The following is a 19710-nucleotide window of genomic DNA, read 5'->3' on the forward strand; positions in this document are numbered from 1 at the left end:
CTCACTCATATCCAATTTAGATAATGTAGGTAAGAGTTGGAAATTTTGAACTGATGAGATCTTGGACTTTGAGTTGAAGCTGTAATGGATTGAGACTTTTGGGAACCCTGAAGTGCGGTGAATGTATTTTGTGTGTAGGACATATATGAATCATTGGGGGGTTAGAAGTGTGCTATGATAGATACCCCCACATACACACACAAGAGGTCCACTTTTTACTCCCTGAAGCTTGTGAATATGTTAACTTACTTGGCAAAAAAAAAAAAAAGGGAAAAAAGAAACTTGGCAGATGTAATTAGGTTAAGGGTCTTGAGATTGGTAGATTCTTTGGGTAGACCAACTGTAATCACATGGCTCCTTGTAAGAGCAGAGAGGCAGTACATTGGAGGCCAGAGAAAGATATCAAGATCCTATGCTACTGGCTTTGCTGATGGAGGAAGAAGCCATTAAGCCAAGGAATGCAGGTGGCATCTAGAAGCTAGAAAAAGCAAGGAAACAGATTTTGTCCAACAGCCTCCAGAAAGAGAAGAATGAAATACAATTTACCATAGAATGCATTGTGCCATTACTTAAATTGTTATTTTAAATTATTTTTTAACCTTTTTTGCTTATTAGTTGTTTGAGATTATGAATCTTATGCTGCTAGAATTAATTACACCTCCATTACCATTGGATCCAGCTGATGTCCAATCAATAAATACCTGTTGATTGAATTGGTTATAAATTTCACTTTTTTTCTTTTTTTTTTCATGGAGGTGTAATTTACATGAAAGAAAATGGACAGGTTTTGATTTTTTTTTCCATTGAGGTGTAATTTACGTAAAATAACATGCATAGGTTTTAAGTGTTCATTTGAATGAATTTGTCAAATATATATAGCAAAGTAACCACTGTGCAAAACAAGATACAAAATATTTCTATATTCCCAAAAGGTTCCTTGTGTACTGTACAGTCATCCCATTTTCCAAGAAACAATTATTTTCAGATTTATTTTACACAACAAAATGTTTATTACTAGTTGTATCTCGTGGTAAGATTACATAATAACACAAATTATTTATTCTCTCGTATTGTTAGACATTTATTTAACAGTATCAGGAATTGATTACATTATCAGGAGCAATGCTCCAAAGTATTTGTGGCATTTTATATCCCTGCCAGCAACATACAAGGATTCCAATATGATCTGTGTCTTTGCCAGTATTTGGTATTGTCAGACATTTTAATTTTAGCTATTCAAATGCAAATGAAATGATATCTCATTGTTGTTTTAGTTTTCATTTTACTGGTTGCTATAGTTAAGATGTTTACCCCCTCCAAATCTCATGTTAAAATTTAATCCCCAGTATTGGAGGTGGGCCTAATGGGAGTTATTTGGGTTATGGGAGTTGATACCTCATTAATAGATTAATGCTCTTCTGGGGGGTGGTGAGTGTGTTTTCCCTCTTTTAGTTTTTGTGAAAGCTGGTTGTTAAAAAGAACCTGGTACCTTCTCCTTCTCCTCTTGTTTCCACTCTGGTCATGTGATCTCTATACACCAGCTCCCCTTCACCTTCTGCCATGAGTGAAAGCAGACTGAGGCCCTCACCAGAAGCAGATGCTGGCCTCATGCTTCTTGTACAGCCTGTAGAACTGTGAGCCAAATAAACCTCTTTTCTTTATAAATTACCCAACCTCAGGGATTCCTTTATAACAACACAAAATAGGCTGTGATACTGATGACTATTGATATTGAAGACTGTATTAGTCCATTTTCATGCTGCTAATAAAGACATACCTGAAACTGGGAAGAAAAAGAGGTTTAGGAAGGCTGAAGTGGGTGGATCATGAAGTCAGGAGTTTGAGACCAGCCTGGCCAACATGGTGAAACTCCATCTCTACTAAAAATACAAAAATTAGCCAGGCATGGTGGTGGGCACCTGTAATCCCAGCTACTCAGGAGGCTGAGGCAGGAGAATCACTTGAACCCGGGAGGTGGAGGTTGCAGTGAGCCGAGATCATGCCATTGCACTCCAGTCTGGGCGACAAGGGCAAGACTCCATCTCAAAATAAAAATAAAAAAAAAAAAAAGGAAAAAGAGGTTTAATTGGACTTATAGTTCCACATGGCTGCAGAGGCCTCAGTATCATGGCAGGAAGCGGTGGCAGGAGAAAAATTAGGAAGAAGCAGAAGCAGAAACCCCTGATAAACCCATCAGATCTCATGAGACTTATTCACTATCAGGATAATAGCATTAGAAAAACCAGCCCCCATGATTCAATTACCTCCCCTGGGGCCGCTCCCACAATGTGTGGGAATTCTGGGAGCTACAATTCAAGTTGAGATTTGGGTGGGGACACAGCCAAACCGTATCATTCCACTCCTGGCCCCTCCAGATCTCATGTCCTCACATTTCAAAACCAATCATGCCTTCCCAACAGTCCCCAAAGTCTTAACTCATTTCAGCATTAACCCAAAAGTCCACAGTCCAAAGTCTCATCTGAGACAAGGCAAGTCCCTCCTGCCCATAAGCCTGTAAAATCAAAAGCAAGTGAGTTACTTCCTAGAAACAATGGGGGTACAGGTACTGGGTAAATACAGCTGAGCCAAATGCAGGGAGTTGGTCAAAACAAAGGGATTACAGAGCCCATGCAAGTCTGAAATCCAGCAGGGCAGTCATATTTTAAAGCTCTAAAGTCATCTCCTTTGGCTCCAGGTCACGCTGATGCAAAAGGTGAGTGCCCATAGTATGCCCTGTGGCTTTGCAGGGTACAGCCTCCTTCCTGGCTGCTTTCATGGACTGGCATTGAGTATCTGCAGCATTTCCAGGTGCACAGTGCGAGCTGTCAGTGGATCTACCATTCTGGGGTCCGGAGGACAGTGGCCCTCTTCTCACAGCTCCACTAGGCAGTGCCCCAGTATGGCCTCTGTGTGGGGCCTCTGACCCCACATTCTTCTTCCACACTGCCCTAGCAGACGTTCTCCATGAGGGACCTCCCCCTGTAGCAAACTTTTGCCTGGGCATCCAGGCATTTTCATACATCTTCTGAAATCTAGGCGGAAGTTCCCAAACCTCGATTCTCAACTTCTGTGGACCCGCAGGCTCAACACCACGTGTAAGCTGCCAAAGCTTGGGGCTTCCACCCTCTGAAGCCACAGCCCAAGTTCTACATTGGCCCCTTTCAACCATGGCTGCAGCAGCTGGCACACATGGCACCAAGTCCCTAGGCTGCAAATAGCACAGGTACCCTGACCCCAGCCCACATTACCACTTTTTCCTCCTGGGCCTCCAGGCCTGTGATGGGAGAGGCTGCCTGGAGCCTGGAGACATTTTCCTCATGGATTAACATTACGCTCCTTGCTACTTATGAAAGTTTCTGCAGCTGCTTGAATTTCTCCTCAAAAAATGGGTTTTTAGTTTATACTGCATCATCAGGCTATAAATTTTCTGAACTTTTATGCTCTGTTTCCCTTTTGAAGCAAAATGCTTTTAACAGCACCCAAGTCACATTTGAATGCTTTGCTACTTAGAAATTTCTTCCACCAGATACACTAAATCATCTCTCTCAAGTTCAAAGTTCCACAGATCTCTAGGGCAGGGAACAAATTCTGCCAGTCTCTTTGCTAAAACATAACAAGAGTCACCTTTGCTCCAGTTCCCAACAAGTTCCTCATCTCTATCTGAGACTGCCTCGGCCTGGACCTTATTGTTCATATCTCTATCAGCATTTTTGTCAAAGCTATTCAACAAGTCTCTAGGAGGTTCCAAACCTCTCTTCTTTTCCTGTCTTCTTCTGGGCCCTCCAAACTCTTCCAACCTCTGCCTGTTACCCAGTTCCAAAGTTGCTTTCACGTTTTCAGGTATCTTTTCAGGACGAACCCACTCTGCTGGTATCCATTTACTGTATTAGTCTGCTTTCACACTGCTGATAAAAACATACCAGAGACTGGGAAGAAAAAGATGTTTAATTGGATTTACATTTCCACATGGCTGTGGAGGCCTCAGAATCATGGTGGGAGGGAAAAGGCACTTATTACATGGCAGAGGCAAGAGAAAAAAGAGGAAGAAGCAAAAGTGGAAACCACTGATAAACCCATCTGATCTCCTGAGACTTATTCACTATTACGAGAACAACACATGAAAGACTGGGCCCCATGATTCAAGACTGGGTCCCTCTCACAATGCGTGGGAATTCTGGGAAATACACTTCAAGTTGAGATTTGGGTGGGGGACACCGTCAAACCATATCAAAAATTTTTTCAAGATATCTGTGTATCTTCTGTTTCAAATGTCTATGCAAGTCTTCTGTTAATTTTTATTGAATTATTTAAAATTTTGTTATTAATGCATGCATTATTTTTAAATGCTGAATACAATTCTTTTTGTATTTTATTTTCTATCAGTCTGTGGCTGAAAATATTCTTAATATTGGGTTTTGAGGAGCAGAAATTTTAGGTTTTGATGAAGTTCAACTTATTTATTTTCCTTTTTTATTTCATGATATTTTTGTCTTGGCTAAGACATATTTCACTATTTTAAGGTTCCAGAGATATTCCCTTATACTTTTTTCCTGAAAATTTATAAATTAAGCTTTCATATTTCAATTTTTGATTAATCTCAGGTCAATTTTGGATAGGAGGTAAAATATGAAACAATCCTCTTTTAAATTAACACATATGCTGTATATGGACATCCACTTGATCCAGCATTATTTAAGTAAAACATTTTTTTCTTCAATGGATTGCCTAAGTGTCTGTTGAAAATCAGTTGATCATATATGTGCAGGCCCATGTTTTGGCTCTATGTCCTGTTCCATGGACTTGTAAGTTTATGTTTAAACTAATACTACACTGTTTAATTGTAGCATTATAATTAGTCTCGAGATCAGGTTGTATAAATATTTGTAATTGGTTCTTTGTTTTCAAGATTGTTTTAACTGTTCTGGATACTTTGAATTTTTAAACAAATTTTAGAATTTGCTTATCATTTAAAAATCCTTATGGAGATTCTGATTGCGATTGGATTGGCTTATAGATTATTTTGGAGATATCTATGAACATGATAGAGTTTTCTATTTTCTTAGGTTTTAATTCATTATTTTAGTGAGAGGTGAAGCCAGCTGGGCTTCTGGGTTGGGTGGGGACTTGGACAACTTTTCTGTCTAGCTAAAGGATTGTAAACGCACCAATCAGTGCTCTGTGTCTAGCTAATCAGGTGGGGACTTGGAGAACTTTTGTGTCTAGCTAAAGGATTGTAAACACACCAATCAGCACTCTGTAAAATGGACCAATCAGCACTCTGTAAAATGGAACAATCAGCGCTCTGTAAAATGGACCAGTCAGCAGGATGTGGGTGGGGCCAAATATGGGAATAAAAGCAGGCCACCCGAGCCAGCAGCAGCAACCCGCTCCCGCTTGGGTCCCCTTCCACGCTGTGGAAGCTTTGTTCTTTCGCTCTTCACAGTAAATCTTGCTGCTGCTCACTCTTTGGGTCTGCACTACCTTTATGAGCTGTAACACTCACCGAGAAGGTCTGCAGCTTCACTCCTGTAGCCAGTGAGACCACGAACCCACCAGGAGGAGCAAACAGCTCCAGATGTGCCACCTTTAAGAGCTGTAACACTCACTATGTAGGTCTGCGGCTTCACTCCTGAAGTCAGCGAGACCAGGAACCCACCCGGAGGAGTGAACAACTCCGGACGTGCCACCTTTGAGAGCTGTAACACTCACTGCGAAGGTCTGCAGTTTCACTCCTGAAGTCAGCAAGACCACAAACCCACCAGAAGGAACCAATTCCGGACACATTAGTAATGATTTGTAGTTTTTAGAGTAGAGCTTCTTTTGCACCATTGCATTTTTAGCCCTAAATGCTTCATAATTTTCTGTAATTTTAAACATTTTTAAATTCAATTTTTAGTACTGTTATGTAGAAATACAAAATAAATTTTGGTATATTGATCATCTATCTTGCAACTTTGGTAACTTCCCTTATTATTATGTGGGTTTTACTTTGTTGTCATCGTTTCCTTAGGGTTTCTTAGAAACACAGTTTTGTCACATGTTAAAAAAAACGGATTCTTTCACTTCTCTCTTTCAAACTTGGATGCCTTTTAATGCTTTTTCTTGTCTTAATGCACTGGTTCAGACTTCCATTAAAATAATGAATGGAATTGTTAAATCTGTATATCATTGTCATCTTCTCACTTTTAGGGGAAAATGTGTTATATTTCCCTTTTAAATATGATGTTTGCAGTGCAATAAAACACTACAGTTTATTCCTCCAGTCTAAAGGATTGAAACTTCATAACATTTGATAGACATCTCCTCTTTTCCCATCTCACCCTCCCTCCTTGCCCCCTAGCCTTATTTCTTGCAATCAAGAATCCTAAATAATGCAATTATTCATAGCAAGTGGGACCTATTATGTATCCTGTTGTAATTGATTTCCCCAGTAACATACATCCATCAGTTTGCCCCCTGCTATAACTCTCAGGAACTCCATATACAGAATATCTGGTGTTCTCATATTACCTACTTGAATGTATTTTATGCATTTTCTTTTTTTTCATTGCAAATAAATGTAAAAATATAGAAAAACACAAATAATAATATAATAATATTTATAATCTTATCTTCCTTCCAATAATCCCTATCCATATGTCCAGAGACAAAGACCATCAAAAGGTCAGTGCATGCACTTCTAGTCTGTTTTTATTCTTTTACCTACATGTATATTGGTTTGTCAACAAATTTACTTTGAAGAGTGGCATTTTAAAAATACATATTATAGGCTGGGCATGGTGGCTCACGCCTGTAATCCCAGCACTTTGGGAGGCTGAGGGGGGCGGATCACCTGAGGTTGGGAGTTCGAGACCAGCCTGACCAACATGGAAAAACCCCGTCTCTACTAAAAATACAAAACTAGCCTGGCATGGTGGGGCATGCCTGTAATCCCAGCTACTCGAGAGGCTGAGGCAGGATAATTGCTTGAACCTGGGAGGCAGAGGTTGCGGTGAGCCCAGATCATGCCATTGCACTCCAGCCTGGGCAACAAGAGAGAAACTCTGTCTCAAAAAAAAAAAATTGTGTGTATATATATACATATATGTACATGTATATGTATATATGTATGTACATATATACACATATATATACATATATGTACATATATATGTGTGTGTGTGTATATATATATATAGACTTCTTTCGCTTTTTATTTAGTCCTTAAAACCAATTTCTCTCTACTTGCATGTCTCTCTCTCCCTGTATATACTATTTTTGATCATTGTTCCATTAATAGTCCATGTTCTCATTATCTATTTCTCTAATGGTGGGCATTTAGTTATTTCCAAATTTTAGTTACTACAAACAATGCTGTGATTGATCATTCTTCCTACATTCAGCCATCTGCTGTGATTTCTACCACCAGACGATTATCATCACAGTTCTGGTTGCCTGTCTCTAATTGCCTAGCTGGCCATCCTCCCATTATCTGTTACCTAGACCTCTCATCATGGATCTGTCTCTCCATGGTATATGCTGTCAGCACTCAATTCTTGAAGAAGTTACACTGAGAAATTATCTAATTCAGTAACCTGAAATTGAAGGCTTCTTTTTTTTTTTTTTTTTTGAGACGGAGTCTCGCTCTGTCGCCCAGGCGGGACTGCGGACTGCAGTGGCGCAATCTCGGCTCACTGCAAGCTCCGCTTCCCGGGTTCACGCCATTCTCCTGCCTCAGCCTCCCGAGTAGCTGGGACTACAGGCGCCCGCCACCGCGCCCGGCTAATTTTTTTTTGTATTTTTAGTAGAGACGGGGTTTCACCCTGTTAGCCAGGATGGTCTCGATCTCCTGACCTCGTGATCCACCCGCCTCGGCCTCCCAAAGTGCTGGGATTACAGGCGTGAGCCACCGCGCCCGGCCTGAAGGCTTCTTGTATCTTTTTCAGACCAGGGAGTGTGTGTACAAGATCATGAATAAATAAAATCATTATGACTTCTTATGGTTTCTAGTGTTTCCCCCCCTACCCCTGGCCCGCCCCGCTCAACCAATGGTTATCAAGTAAAATTTGCAGCTGGTGTGCTTCATTTTAAAATGACTTGGCTATTTAATATCTTTCATGAATCCAGTTTAGAAATAAATTATACTATTGTTTTTCATAGTATTTGTTTTTGACATTGTAAGGGAATCTAATTCAAGAGGAGGAAGGCAGTCAGGCATTGTTTAAACAATACCAGTTTCTTTAGTTCTATAATAAAATAGGTGTGCATTTGTTAGTGATTATCTATGACTAATTCACTCTGGAAAAAAAAGCGATGGGGATCAGAATTTACTTATAATTGTTGTTGTTGGCAATATTATAGTCTTGTTATGTTTCACCATTGAGTTTATGCCTGTGGCTTCTCTGTTGGACTCCCACCCCAAGGTAGTTTAAGATTGCTTATCTAAAAAACACATGCCCAGGCCCTGAAACATTCAAATGTGATAAAAATCAATTTTACCTATGTTATTCCCAGCTGAATGCCACTTCTGATGTACATCAGCTTCAAAAGAAATTAAGAGATAAGTAACATGATTACAATCAGATTAGCTTGTCTAGGCAGACAAATGAGATTGCAGAGTTGTCTGAGTGAAGATGCTTCCTAGTGTATTCCTAGAGACCAGTTTGCATCACATTAAACAAAAATGAGTTTCCAATATGTGTACTATATAACAAAGTGGATAAATGAAAACTCCACCCTGTGAGTGACTATGAGTCGGGGAAACTTATTTTGTGACTATTTGATAATTACTTCACGTCATTCTAATACTATGTGGTATCTAAGAAAAAACAGGATCATTTTCTGAGAGTGCTTTTTTTTGCTCAAACTAAAAGAAGTATTTTTATTAATTATTATTAATAGAACCCATGAAGGTCAAGGAGGGAAATCAGGGAGAAAATATCTTGAGTCACAAGTTATTCTCCATTGCAGAATAGGATAATGAAAAGTATTTAGAGGGCAGTTTAAAGCGGGGCGGGGTCACACCAACCAGAAGAAAAGAGGGAACTACATTAATAAATACTAAAAAGACAATATGCAAGAAGTAGGGGTAGGTTCAGTTTCAATGAATGTGAGATCCATAGTGAAGGAAAAAGCTCCCGGCTCTATTTATCTTACTTATAAAATGACCTTTATTTTCCAGCCCAGAAAAAAAAAAAAGAACAAGTAAAGTTATACAGGGCAGGTAAAAAATAATCGGGCAATGTTTATTCAAGCTAGTGTGATAATGTCACCCTAAACCATTTTCTTTTCAGTCTGTAATTATTTGGGGCATTAAGAAAAAATAAACAGGAAATTAAAATAATCAAATGCCTTGATTATTGGATAATTGCAGGATTAAGAATACTCTAGGAGCAAGTTTAAAAAAAAAAAAAAGCGCATGACAGAGCTATTGAAGTTAAGAGTAAAGGATATTGTAATCACAGCACTTTGGGAGGCCGAGGTGTGTGGTTCACGAGGTCAGGAGATCAAGACCATCCTGGCTAACATGGTGAAACCCCAGCTCTACTAAAAATACAAAAAATAAGCCAGGAGTGGTGGCACACACCTGTAGTCTCAGCTACTCAGGAGGCTGAGGCAGGAGAATTGCTTGAACCTGGGAGGCAGAGGTTTCAGTGAGCTGAGATCATGCCAATGCACTCCAGGCTGGGTAACAGAGTGAGACTCCACCTCAAAAAAAAAAAAAAGTAAAGGATATAACAGAGTAGAACGGAGTAATGTGAATGCAAGCCCTAAACATGAGACCTGTTTTTATACCACAAAGAAATAACGAATTGTCCAAATGGTTCAACCATAAATGCCCATTTTCCCAGTCACAAGGTTTTTATTTTTATGTTTTTTAACGTCTTCTGATTGCAGAGCTGCTATACTTTAAGATTTCTTCAAATTGCATAAAGACATGGAAAAATATATCTCTGAATTAATAGAATATTTAGAATTATTTGATGAAAAAATATTACTGAACATCCGTTTAGAATTTGTGATACTTATTAACATTTTCATTATGCACAAAAGGGAAGAAAAACTATATGTACGTAAGGCATACAGTACTGCTTAATTTGACCTTTTTATAGGAAATGTGACTATATCCTTCACAAAAACTGCAAAAGAAAAAGGAGAGGCAGGGAATTAATTATGAGTGGAGGAATCTTGGGAAATATTTCAAATAAACTTTTTCTTCATTCTAAACATAAAACAGTACCTTCACCTTAGCTTCAGCAAAGTCAGTTCTACATATAACTAAATATCAAATTACAACATGCAATAATTTAATAAAGCTTTTTGATCTCTAATTTAGATCTTTCTTTTTAAAAAAATTGAGCTTAAATATTAACAGGGATAAATGAAGAGCTTAGTTAAGTGTTTATCATCAAAAAGTTGCATGGCGTTTTCATGACCATGCACAGTAATCCTCGTGAATATATTTTGGCAAATGTTGATATCAATCGGTTATTTCTTTTGTGATCTAGATATTTAATTTCAAATAGTTATTTCCAGAAATCAATATTTGGCTCACTTTTCAGTAAATGCCTTTAAGTGAGGGTTTTCTACAGCTAAATTAATTCAATGTATATTTAGAGTTATATTTTATGGGCAATTTGGAAGTGGGACAGCTATCTTGGAATGTATCAGCTCTGAAGCATTAAAAAAAATTTCAGCTGTCTTGGATCTTTCAACATTTTTTCTGGTTCTCTAGTTTTATTTTTTTTCTCTCCTGTGCCTTCTCTCCTGTTTCTCCCCCTCTTACTATACAATCTTCCCATTTAAAAAAAATCAGGTAAAAACCTCCTCATATGGTGGTTGTAATGCTTAAATGAGGAAGTCTGTGTACGATGCATAGTGTATTGCCTAGTGAGTATTCAATCAATGTCCATTTCTAGTTTTCTTTTTATTCAGCACAACCCAGGGTTGTTATTTAAAAAAAAAATCAATGATATTACGCTATATCAGATGGGTATGTTGTGGCACTGTCACAAGACTGCCTGACATAGCTAATGATTACTTTTTTCCTCAAAGGATTTCTTTTGTGCATCAAATAATGTTGTTCATTTAGCACAATTTATACACTGAGAACACCACATGTGAAATGCTCATGTTATTCAAAAAGTCTTCTAATATTTTAGGTTGTCCATCATACTTTGGGAGCAAAAACAGGCTATTTGGTCTATAACTTCTCCAGGGTTTTGGTTTTTCCTCCAAAATATTTTTGACCACTATTTAAAATTGCATTTAATTATTTATATTTCATTATATTTGATTGGCTGAAGGATCCTGTTACTGAACTGCTATCTGGAGCCACAATTTCCACTAGAAATGAGCAATTATTAAGATTACCCTGCTAAATTTTGATCTATCTAAATCCTTCCAGCATTCTAGGCTTCTAAGAGAACTTTTGTCACTCTGGTTTCAACTGTCTTTGGAAATACCAAGCTAAGTGAATACTTTATCAGTTGTTTTTTTCTTTATGTAGTGCTTTATGCATGATGCTTTCTAGCTCAGGACTATGATTGCAGCAGGAGATAACAACAGTCCAAGATTTCTCTCTGACTCAATATTCTAAGTTGTAAGACATTATCTCACAAAACAGATTCAGAGCTATTTCTTGATACCCTTTCTGTAATGGACCTTGGGACCTTATTAAACTTAGTTTTTCTTCTTGGATATGTACCTTCTGCATCCACACATAAAACCATTTTTTTTTTTTTTGCTTGCCTAGGTACCTGAGTTTCCAGTCAGTTCCCATGTACTGAGTTACTTAAGTGAAAATGATAATCTTCAATAAAAGGCAACTTCTTATCTGTGGTTCACTCATCATCAGAAAGCATGATTGTATGGTTGCTAATTTTTTTCTCACTGCTTTGAATGTATTTGTATATTAAATTACCACTTTCACTCTTGTATGTGCTATCAGAAATTGTCTTTTTCTTGGTAAAAAAAAAAAAACTTGGTTAAAGTTATATAATTTATTTCCATTCTGTAAGAAAAACCTTGATTTAACAATTGGTTTGCCTTAAATGTATAAAGTAATATAAAGTTCCTGTGCCTTAAAGAATTTTTGAAATAAGCATGAAACTGGTTTCCCTTTGTCTGCCAGATTATTAAGCCCTTGAGACATAATTAGGAAGACTAAGGATCCAAGTAGTAAAGGAACTGTTAATGCTTAGCTAACTAATAAGGGCTTTTTTTTTTTTTTCCAGAGAGTTTCAAGGAAGAAAATTCTGGTGATTACTATAAAAAAAAAGTCATCAAAAAATTTAAATTTCTTCTTTAGGAGAATGACTCAATATGCTCACCATAGCGTTCCCTACTGTGGAATACTGTGCAGTATTTAAATTTGTGTAAAGGCACTATAATTTTAAATTTCTTCCCCCACAGCCCTGTATCTCCAAAGGAACATTCGTAAGCATTTGGTTGGAAATAGGCACTGGAATAAAATTATAAGATTCTGGAAGGTGAAGAGTCCATATGAACCATAAGTTTTGTATAATCAGCCATTTTGACTTAAGTCATCTCTTTTTTCATCATCATCAACACCATCCATTATTATAAGCGATTATCATAGAATTTATTATATATACATGCATGTGTGTTTGTATGTATATGTATATATGTTTATGTGTGTGTGTGTAAAATAAAGGGGCTGGAAATACAAAGAGTCCATAAAAGTTTATCATTTGTTTTGTTTAGGGATGCTAAGACAGATATTATTGACAGTTTAAACATAACGGACAATAAAAAGAGCATATTTTAGCTGCAAAATGAGAAATCAACCCAAGCATTGATGGTGTTCTGACCTATATGAGACTGATATGAAGGAGTCAGGGAGTGATTGGCATAGTGGTTCATAAATGATACCTCAAACAATAAAAAAAAACTTTCAGAGGTGGTGAGAATGAAAATGTATTTTAGGGGCCGGGTGCGGTGGCTCACGCCTGTAATCCCAGCACTTTGGGAGGCCAAGGCGGGTGGATCACCAGAGGTTGGGCTTCGAGACCAGCCTGACCAAGATGGAGAAACCCTGTCTCTACTAAAAATACAAAATTAGCCGGACGCAGTGGTGCATGCCTGTAGTCCCAGCTACTCGGGAGGCTAAGGCAGGAGAAACGCTTGAACCCAGGAGGCAGAGTTTGCAGTGAGCGGTGATTGTGCCATTGCTCTCCAGCCTGGGCAACAAGAGCAAAATTCCGTCTCAAAAAATAAAAAAAATAAAAAGAAAATGTATTTTAAGTAGATGATATGAAAGGAATAAAGGATTGGTGGGAGGATGGCATATCCTCTGTTCAGAGGAGGTCTGATATGTCCTGAATTTTTGGACTCAAATAATTTTAAAGTCTCACATCAATCAACTATTGAATGACAGTTAATACTTTTCATCTAAGGATAATGAATATGCCATTCCTTAGGAGAAAAACAATTTTTAAATTCAAGTGTCTTACAAGCTTTGTAAATATGTATCTCTTGACCTTGGTTTCTTTTTTGCCAAAATGTGAAGATTTCAACAGATGGTCACTCTGGTTGCTTCTCGGCAGGCACTTTTAAAGAGAGATATTGTTCCGGGTTTTGTTTCTGCATTCTCACATTTGGGGTTGAATTTGTCCTTTGAAAAACATGTATTTTAGAAAATGAAAATTTTAGAAAAGTTTAGAGAAGGGCCAGTCTCCTCTAACTGTGATGCAAAATATAAAATAATAATAAGAATCGGAAGAAGAAAATAATAATAACAATAGGAAGAAAAATGTTCCAGGACTCAGGAAACTTAGGTTGCAGTTTTAGCATGTCTATTCACCAGCTATGAGGTTTGAGACAAGGCCCTTTAAAATCTTTGAACTTCAATTTCTTCCCAAATAATGGCAGGATAATAATTCCCAATGATATCTCAGGCATGTAGTAGGAATCAACACAATAATATATTCAAATGTTTGGTAAATCTTAAAATATTCTTAAATTAAAAGTATTATCAATAAATTCAAACATTGGCAATTGGAACAAAACAACCCTTGGCACACTGTCCCCTTATTACCCCTTGACAGTGACAAGCAAGATCCTATTTCTTGCCTTTTGCGTTACTGTACCACCTCTGCTTGGAATACCCTTTGACAGGATTATCTGCAGGGTTCATTCTCTTACTTCCTTCAGATCTCTACTGAAATGTCACCTTATCAGAGAGGACCTTAATTCCCTGACATCCTATATCAATTAGCAACACTCACTCAGGTACCTCTATCTCCCTTACCATGCCCTATTTTATATTCACATGTCTAGTTTTTCTACCAAATATTTCCCTCTTACAACACCCATGTGTATAAAATCCATTACAACAGGGATCTGGGTTTGTCTTACTGTGTATCTCTTATCCCTAGAAAAGTGCTTGATATGTGGTAGGCACAAAATAAATATGTGTTGAGTGAATGAACAAACTTAAAAACTGTCTGAGGGAGCTTTGAATTAAGCTTGTATAGGCAAAATGAACCTTGTGATTCTTTTGTCTTACAGAAGCTCATTTAATAAGCCTTTACATTTATCAAGGACATATTGAAAGCTCATAAAACATATATGTCATGTCAAAGCTCCAAAGTTCCTTTGAGTGTTACTAATATGATTTATTTTTAGAAAACTATGTATTGCAAGGAAATTGGTGCTTGTGTCACATCAAAACACGAAATAAAAACAACAAATATATGGCATTTTAGATATTTATAAAAATTAAGGGATCTTTCATTGTATGAAGGTCAATTATCTAAAAGAAGATAAAACCTAATTACTTGAATAATTAGTTCAGAACCCATGGAAAAAATAATAAACAAGTATTCACATTTATTTTATCCACAGATTTAAAATGCCATGCATATCATAGATGTGCATGTACGCATATGGCAAGACCTCATTAGACAACTATGATTTTTATATTTTTTACTGACAGGCTCTTCGAAAGACTGAAAAAATTGACAGGACCAGAGAGAGTCCATCTAGAAGAATGTCAAACAAACCACTGAAGTAACGTGTTGACAAAATAACAGCTCTAATAAATTGCAATTTGACTATAAATAACAGTTTCTCTGTTCTTTTTGGTGTACTTGTAGAAGACAGCAGCTGGGATCTGCACCTCTTTGATTAGGTAGTATTCTTAAGAATAATGTGGTTTTTGGCAAGTCACATAATCTTAACCTATTATTTGTAGAATTAATAAACTTTTTGGAAGTTTTTAGCAATGCCAACAGGAATTGATTATCACTTCAATAAAAATAGTTTTGACATTTCTAACTGAGTCTTGCTTCTTTATGTTAATAAAATTTCAACATTTCTGGAAATACTTAATGGAAAATGCAAAAGAATAAACTGATATAAGGTGCATACAGTTGTCTTATTTATCCAAAATGCAGCAGATACAATCCTTCCAACCTACCTATGGAGAATTTAATAGTAATTGAAGGACAGAGTTAGCCTTTATCTTAGCATAAGCCTTTTGAAGGCATGCACAACTAACAATACTTATAATCTAGGTAAAGTCATAAACTGCATAAAGAATATGAAAGTGTCCTTCTAGAAGTTAATGAAAGTTTAATGAGGCCATTAAGTCAACTGATAAAAGCTAAGCTTCAACTCCAAGGAGTTTTAAAGAAAGCAAAAATATCTGAGCAGTAATTGGAAAAGTTGAGTTGTATTTCTTACATGAAATCTGACGAAAGATTGGATTTCATAATAACAACAGTGAGCTTCCCATAACACCATTATTATGGTTTGAATGTCCCCTTCAAAACTCGTGTTGAAAGTTAATTGCCAAATCGCTATTACATTGCAATGAGGCCCTTAATATATGATTAGATGTAGAGGTTCTGCCCTCATGAATGGAGTAGTGCCATTATCACAGGAATGGGTTAGCTATCATGGGAGTGGGATCCTGATAAAAGGGACGGGGGAGTTTGGCCTTCTTTTCTTCTCTTTCTCACCTTCACTAACTATGTGATGCCTTCTGCCATGTTATGACACAGCAACAAGGCCCTCACCAGTCACCAGATACAGCACCTCTATCTTGCACTTCTCAGCATCCAGAACCATGAACCAATAAATCTCTTTTCTTTACAAATTACCTAGGCTGTGATATTCTGTTATAGCAACAGAAAATGAACTAAGACAGTCATCAATTTTACCTGCAAATTTTGATCTGCAGCTATTACCAACAAGTTGAGTATGTATGTGGTAGGGGAGGAAGGGTTGGAGAAATAAGCGGCTATTAAAAATTGTGAATATGTCAGCCTTTGATTTGTTTCAAGGGGTGTTTTTAACCCTATTTCATATATATACGGCATTAAGTCACCAAGACAAACTTTGAAAGTTAGAGAAAAATGAAAGACAAACTTTGAAAGTGAAAGTTAAAAAAAGAGATCTGTTATTTTCAGAAATGATGTACTTTCTCCTGGAATCATGACCACTAACCACCCCTTCCCCCAATTTACGGGGCTAATGTAAACAGAATGTCCTAAACAATCTCAGAGTAGATTGTTAGTTGTTCACAGGACATATGAGGCCAGAAATTTGCCCCCAAACAGTGACAAAAACATTATATAGCTGTGTTGACAAACACATCTCAGAATAGTTTGTCTCCAACTTCTGAAACCTAAGTAGCCTAGAGGTAAATGAACTCAAACATTAAACCTCTGGGACATAATATGCATGCGTATTATAAAAGCTGGATGGTTCTGTTTGAAATTTTTCATGAAAAACAGATGAAGCCTGTTTCAATATACAGTGCAATGTTTTAAGTTATCAACAAATGATAGAGTGTTTTCTACTTTACTTGATAGTAAATTAAAGATGGGCTGTTACACTTAATGTCTCAACTGAAAAAAGGGCTATGATTATAATAGGTAACATCATTCTAGCAAGTTCTTTTCATTGTTATGTTTTCATCATATTTTGAAAACTTAGCCTTCCATTAATACATAATTACAAGTAACAGCATTTTTATCCATTCACTATGATCAGGTAGTTGCTAAGGTGTGTTGCCTAAAAAACTGACCAATAAATAAAACAATAAAATATTAGTAGAAATTTTCTTTGGGGGAGAGTAGGGGTGGGAAGAAGAAATGCAGAATTTTCACTATATGGTAGACTGAGGGGGTCTTTAATCCACTGGTTAGCCTTTTTGATTGCCTCAAGGCAATAATCACCAAAATGTTTTTTTTCATTGAAGAAAAATAATCAGTAGTGTTATTCTTTACCTTCCTTTTGAATCTGTAACTTAAACCACAAATAAACGAATTAAAAGTCACATTCAAATCACAGTTCCTATAATCATTTCTCTTCATCCAGTTTTTACACTTTGCTGTTTTGTAGTTTTGTTGCCATATGTCATGAAAGCATTTATGGTTGTGCCTTGAAGTAGTTTAGGAGTGCTAAGCCTTGGAGCCACATCCACAAAGCTACCCAACTTGGAGGGCATTGCTCATTAAGGCAAATTAATCAAGCCTTAAAGTCTTTTGCAGTCTCTTTATTTTTTTTATTCCTTTATAGGAAAAAAGCAAAGAAAAATACGTAACAAGAATTTAGTTCTGTGTTCAAAAATTGTAAGCACCTTCTGTGTGTTGACAGGGCATGATGACGTACATTCACTCTGCTTTATTATAAATATGTTTTAAACATGAATATTAAAATCAACTGGATTTTCTTTGCACAAAATTTTGAATTTTACCATTTCATTGACCACCCTGAGACAATTAAGAAACAATATCTTGGATACTTCATTGGTGATTAATGATGGTAATAATATGGGCTTACAATGAGCCTGTTTTGAGATGCCACTCACATTCTTTGGTTCCCCATTGATTTGGTTTCATCTGTGCATGGTTCCAGCACTTATTACTACTTTAATGGCTAATTTTCCTTGCTAAAAAAAAAAAATCACACAACTTGTTAAAATACCTGCAACATCAATTTTTCCATACATGATTTGTAAATTAACTGTTCTATAGGGACTATCATTATAAATATAAACAAAAATATAAATAGCTACTTTGAGGTAAAAAACTGTCTTTCAATCAATAAGTCAAGCATATCTTTTGAAGTCATTTAAATGCATCATCAATTTTTAAAATTAAGGTCATCTTTCTCAGCCATGCTGCTTTTTTATGTAAAACAGTTTAATCTATAAAAACAAAATGTTACCAAATTTTTTCCTATTAATACGCTTTTTTTAGAAAGGCATGAAACTGATAAATAAGAGAATTTGAGCATTAAAAAATTGCATGTTGAAGTTGTAAATATATTGTTTCTATGCAAGACATCTCTTGTTTTAATTGAATACAATTTTCATTCTCATTCAAGTTTCCATTTTTAACGAAAATGACTCAGAAATGTTACTGCAAGAGCTGGGGCTTCATACATACGGTCGATTGTTTTCAAATATATCTGCAATATTTCCTCTCGCTCCTTATGTCTACTCCTTTGCAAGGTGACTTTGTTACTTACTTACACCTCCCATAAGAAGGTGGAGGCCATATTTGGTGGCCACAGTAACAAGTTATCATAAATTTGGTGACTTAAAACAACAAAAAATTTATTCTCTCACAGTTATGGAGACCAAAAGTCTGAAATCAAGGTGTCACCAGGGCTGTACTTCCTCTGAAGTCTCCAGAAGGAAATCTTTCTTTGCCTCTTTCAGTTTCTGGTGGCTGTCAGCATTCCTTGTGCTGGCATCACTCATCTCTTCCTTTGTCTTGAAATGGGGTTTTCCTCTTCTCTGTGTCTCCTCCTCTGCCTTTTATTATATAAGAACACTGGCTATTGGATTCAGGGCCTGCCTGGGGATATCCAGGATGGTATCATCACAAAAATTAATTACATGTGCAAAGATCTTTTTTCCAAATAAGGTAATATTCAGTGTCTGGCTTTTAAGACATAGATGTATATCTTGAGAAGCCATTATTCAAACCATTATACCACCCTTTAAATATAGGCTGGTCTTATGATGAGCTTCGATCAGTAGATTTTGGCAGAATAAGCATGGGCTTACGTTGCACTCAGCTTCTGCTTTTATTCTTCTTGAATGCAGTCTTGAGAGTGTTATGAAAAAAAATTGGTCTACTCTATTGAAGCATGAAAGCCTTATGGAACACGATCAGACTTTTTCAGCAGAAGGCAACTGACCTATACCCAGCACTAACTGCCAGTTATATGAGTGAAGATATTATAGCCCATTGATATGGTTTGGCTGTGTCCTCACCAAATCTCATCTTGAATTATAGCTCCCATAATTCCCACATGTTGTGGGAGGGACCCAGTGGAGAATCATGGGGGCAGCTTCCCCCATACTGTTCTTGTGGTAGCGAATAAGTCTCACGAGATCCGTTGGTTTTATAAGGAGTTTCCTCTTTCACTTGGCTCTCATATTCTCCCTTGCCTGCCACCATGTGAAATGTGCCTTTCGCTTTCTGCCATGATTGTGAGGCCTCCACAACCACGTGGAACTGTGAGTCCGTTAAACCTCTTTTTCTTTGTAAATTACACAGTCTTAGGTAGGTCTTTATCAGCAGCATGAGAACAGCCTTGTACACCCATCCAGCCCCAGTCCAGTGTGTGATGACAGCCACTGCATGTGGGAACACAAGCGAGACTAGCAGAAGAGCTGTCCAGCTAAGTGTGGCTAAAATTACTGACAGCATAGTGAGCAAATTAAATAGTTTGTTTTAACTTACT

General features: G+C 37.1%; 1 long non-coding RNA gene across 1 annotated transcript in view; it reads left to right on the top strand.

Annotated features, from left to right (window-relative positions):
- LINC02497 (long intergenic non-protein coding RNA 2497) overlaps positions 1-15063 on the top strand; it is a 40532-nt gene extending 25469 nt beyond the window's left edge. The window contains exon 5 of the long non-coding RNA NR_125935.1: positions 14939-15063. This is a non-coding gene — a long non-coding RNA (long intergenic non-protein coding RNA 2497). The remainder of the gene's footprint in view (positions 1-14938) is intronic.
- The last annotated feature ends 4647 nt before the right edge of the window (positions 15064-19710 follow it).

This window comes from Homo sapiens, chromosome 4 (assembly GCF_000001405.40).
Source record: "Homo sapiens chromosome 4, GRCh38.p14 Primary Assembly".
Classification (NCBI taxonomy): domain Eukaryota; kingdom Metazoa; phylum Chordata; class Mammalia; order Primates; family Hominidae; genus Homo; species Homo sapiens.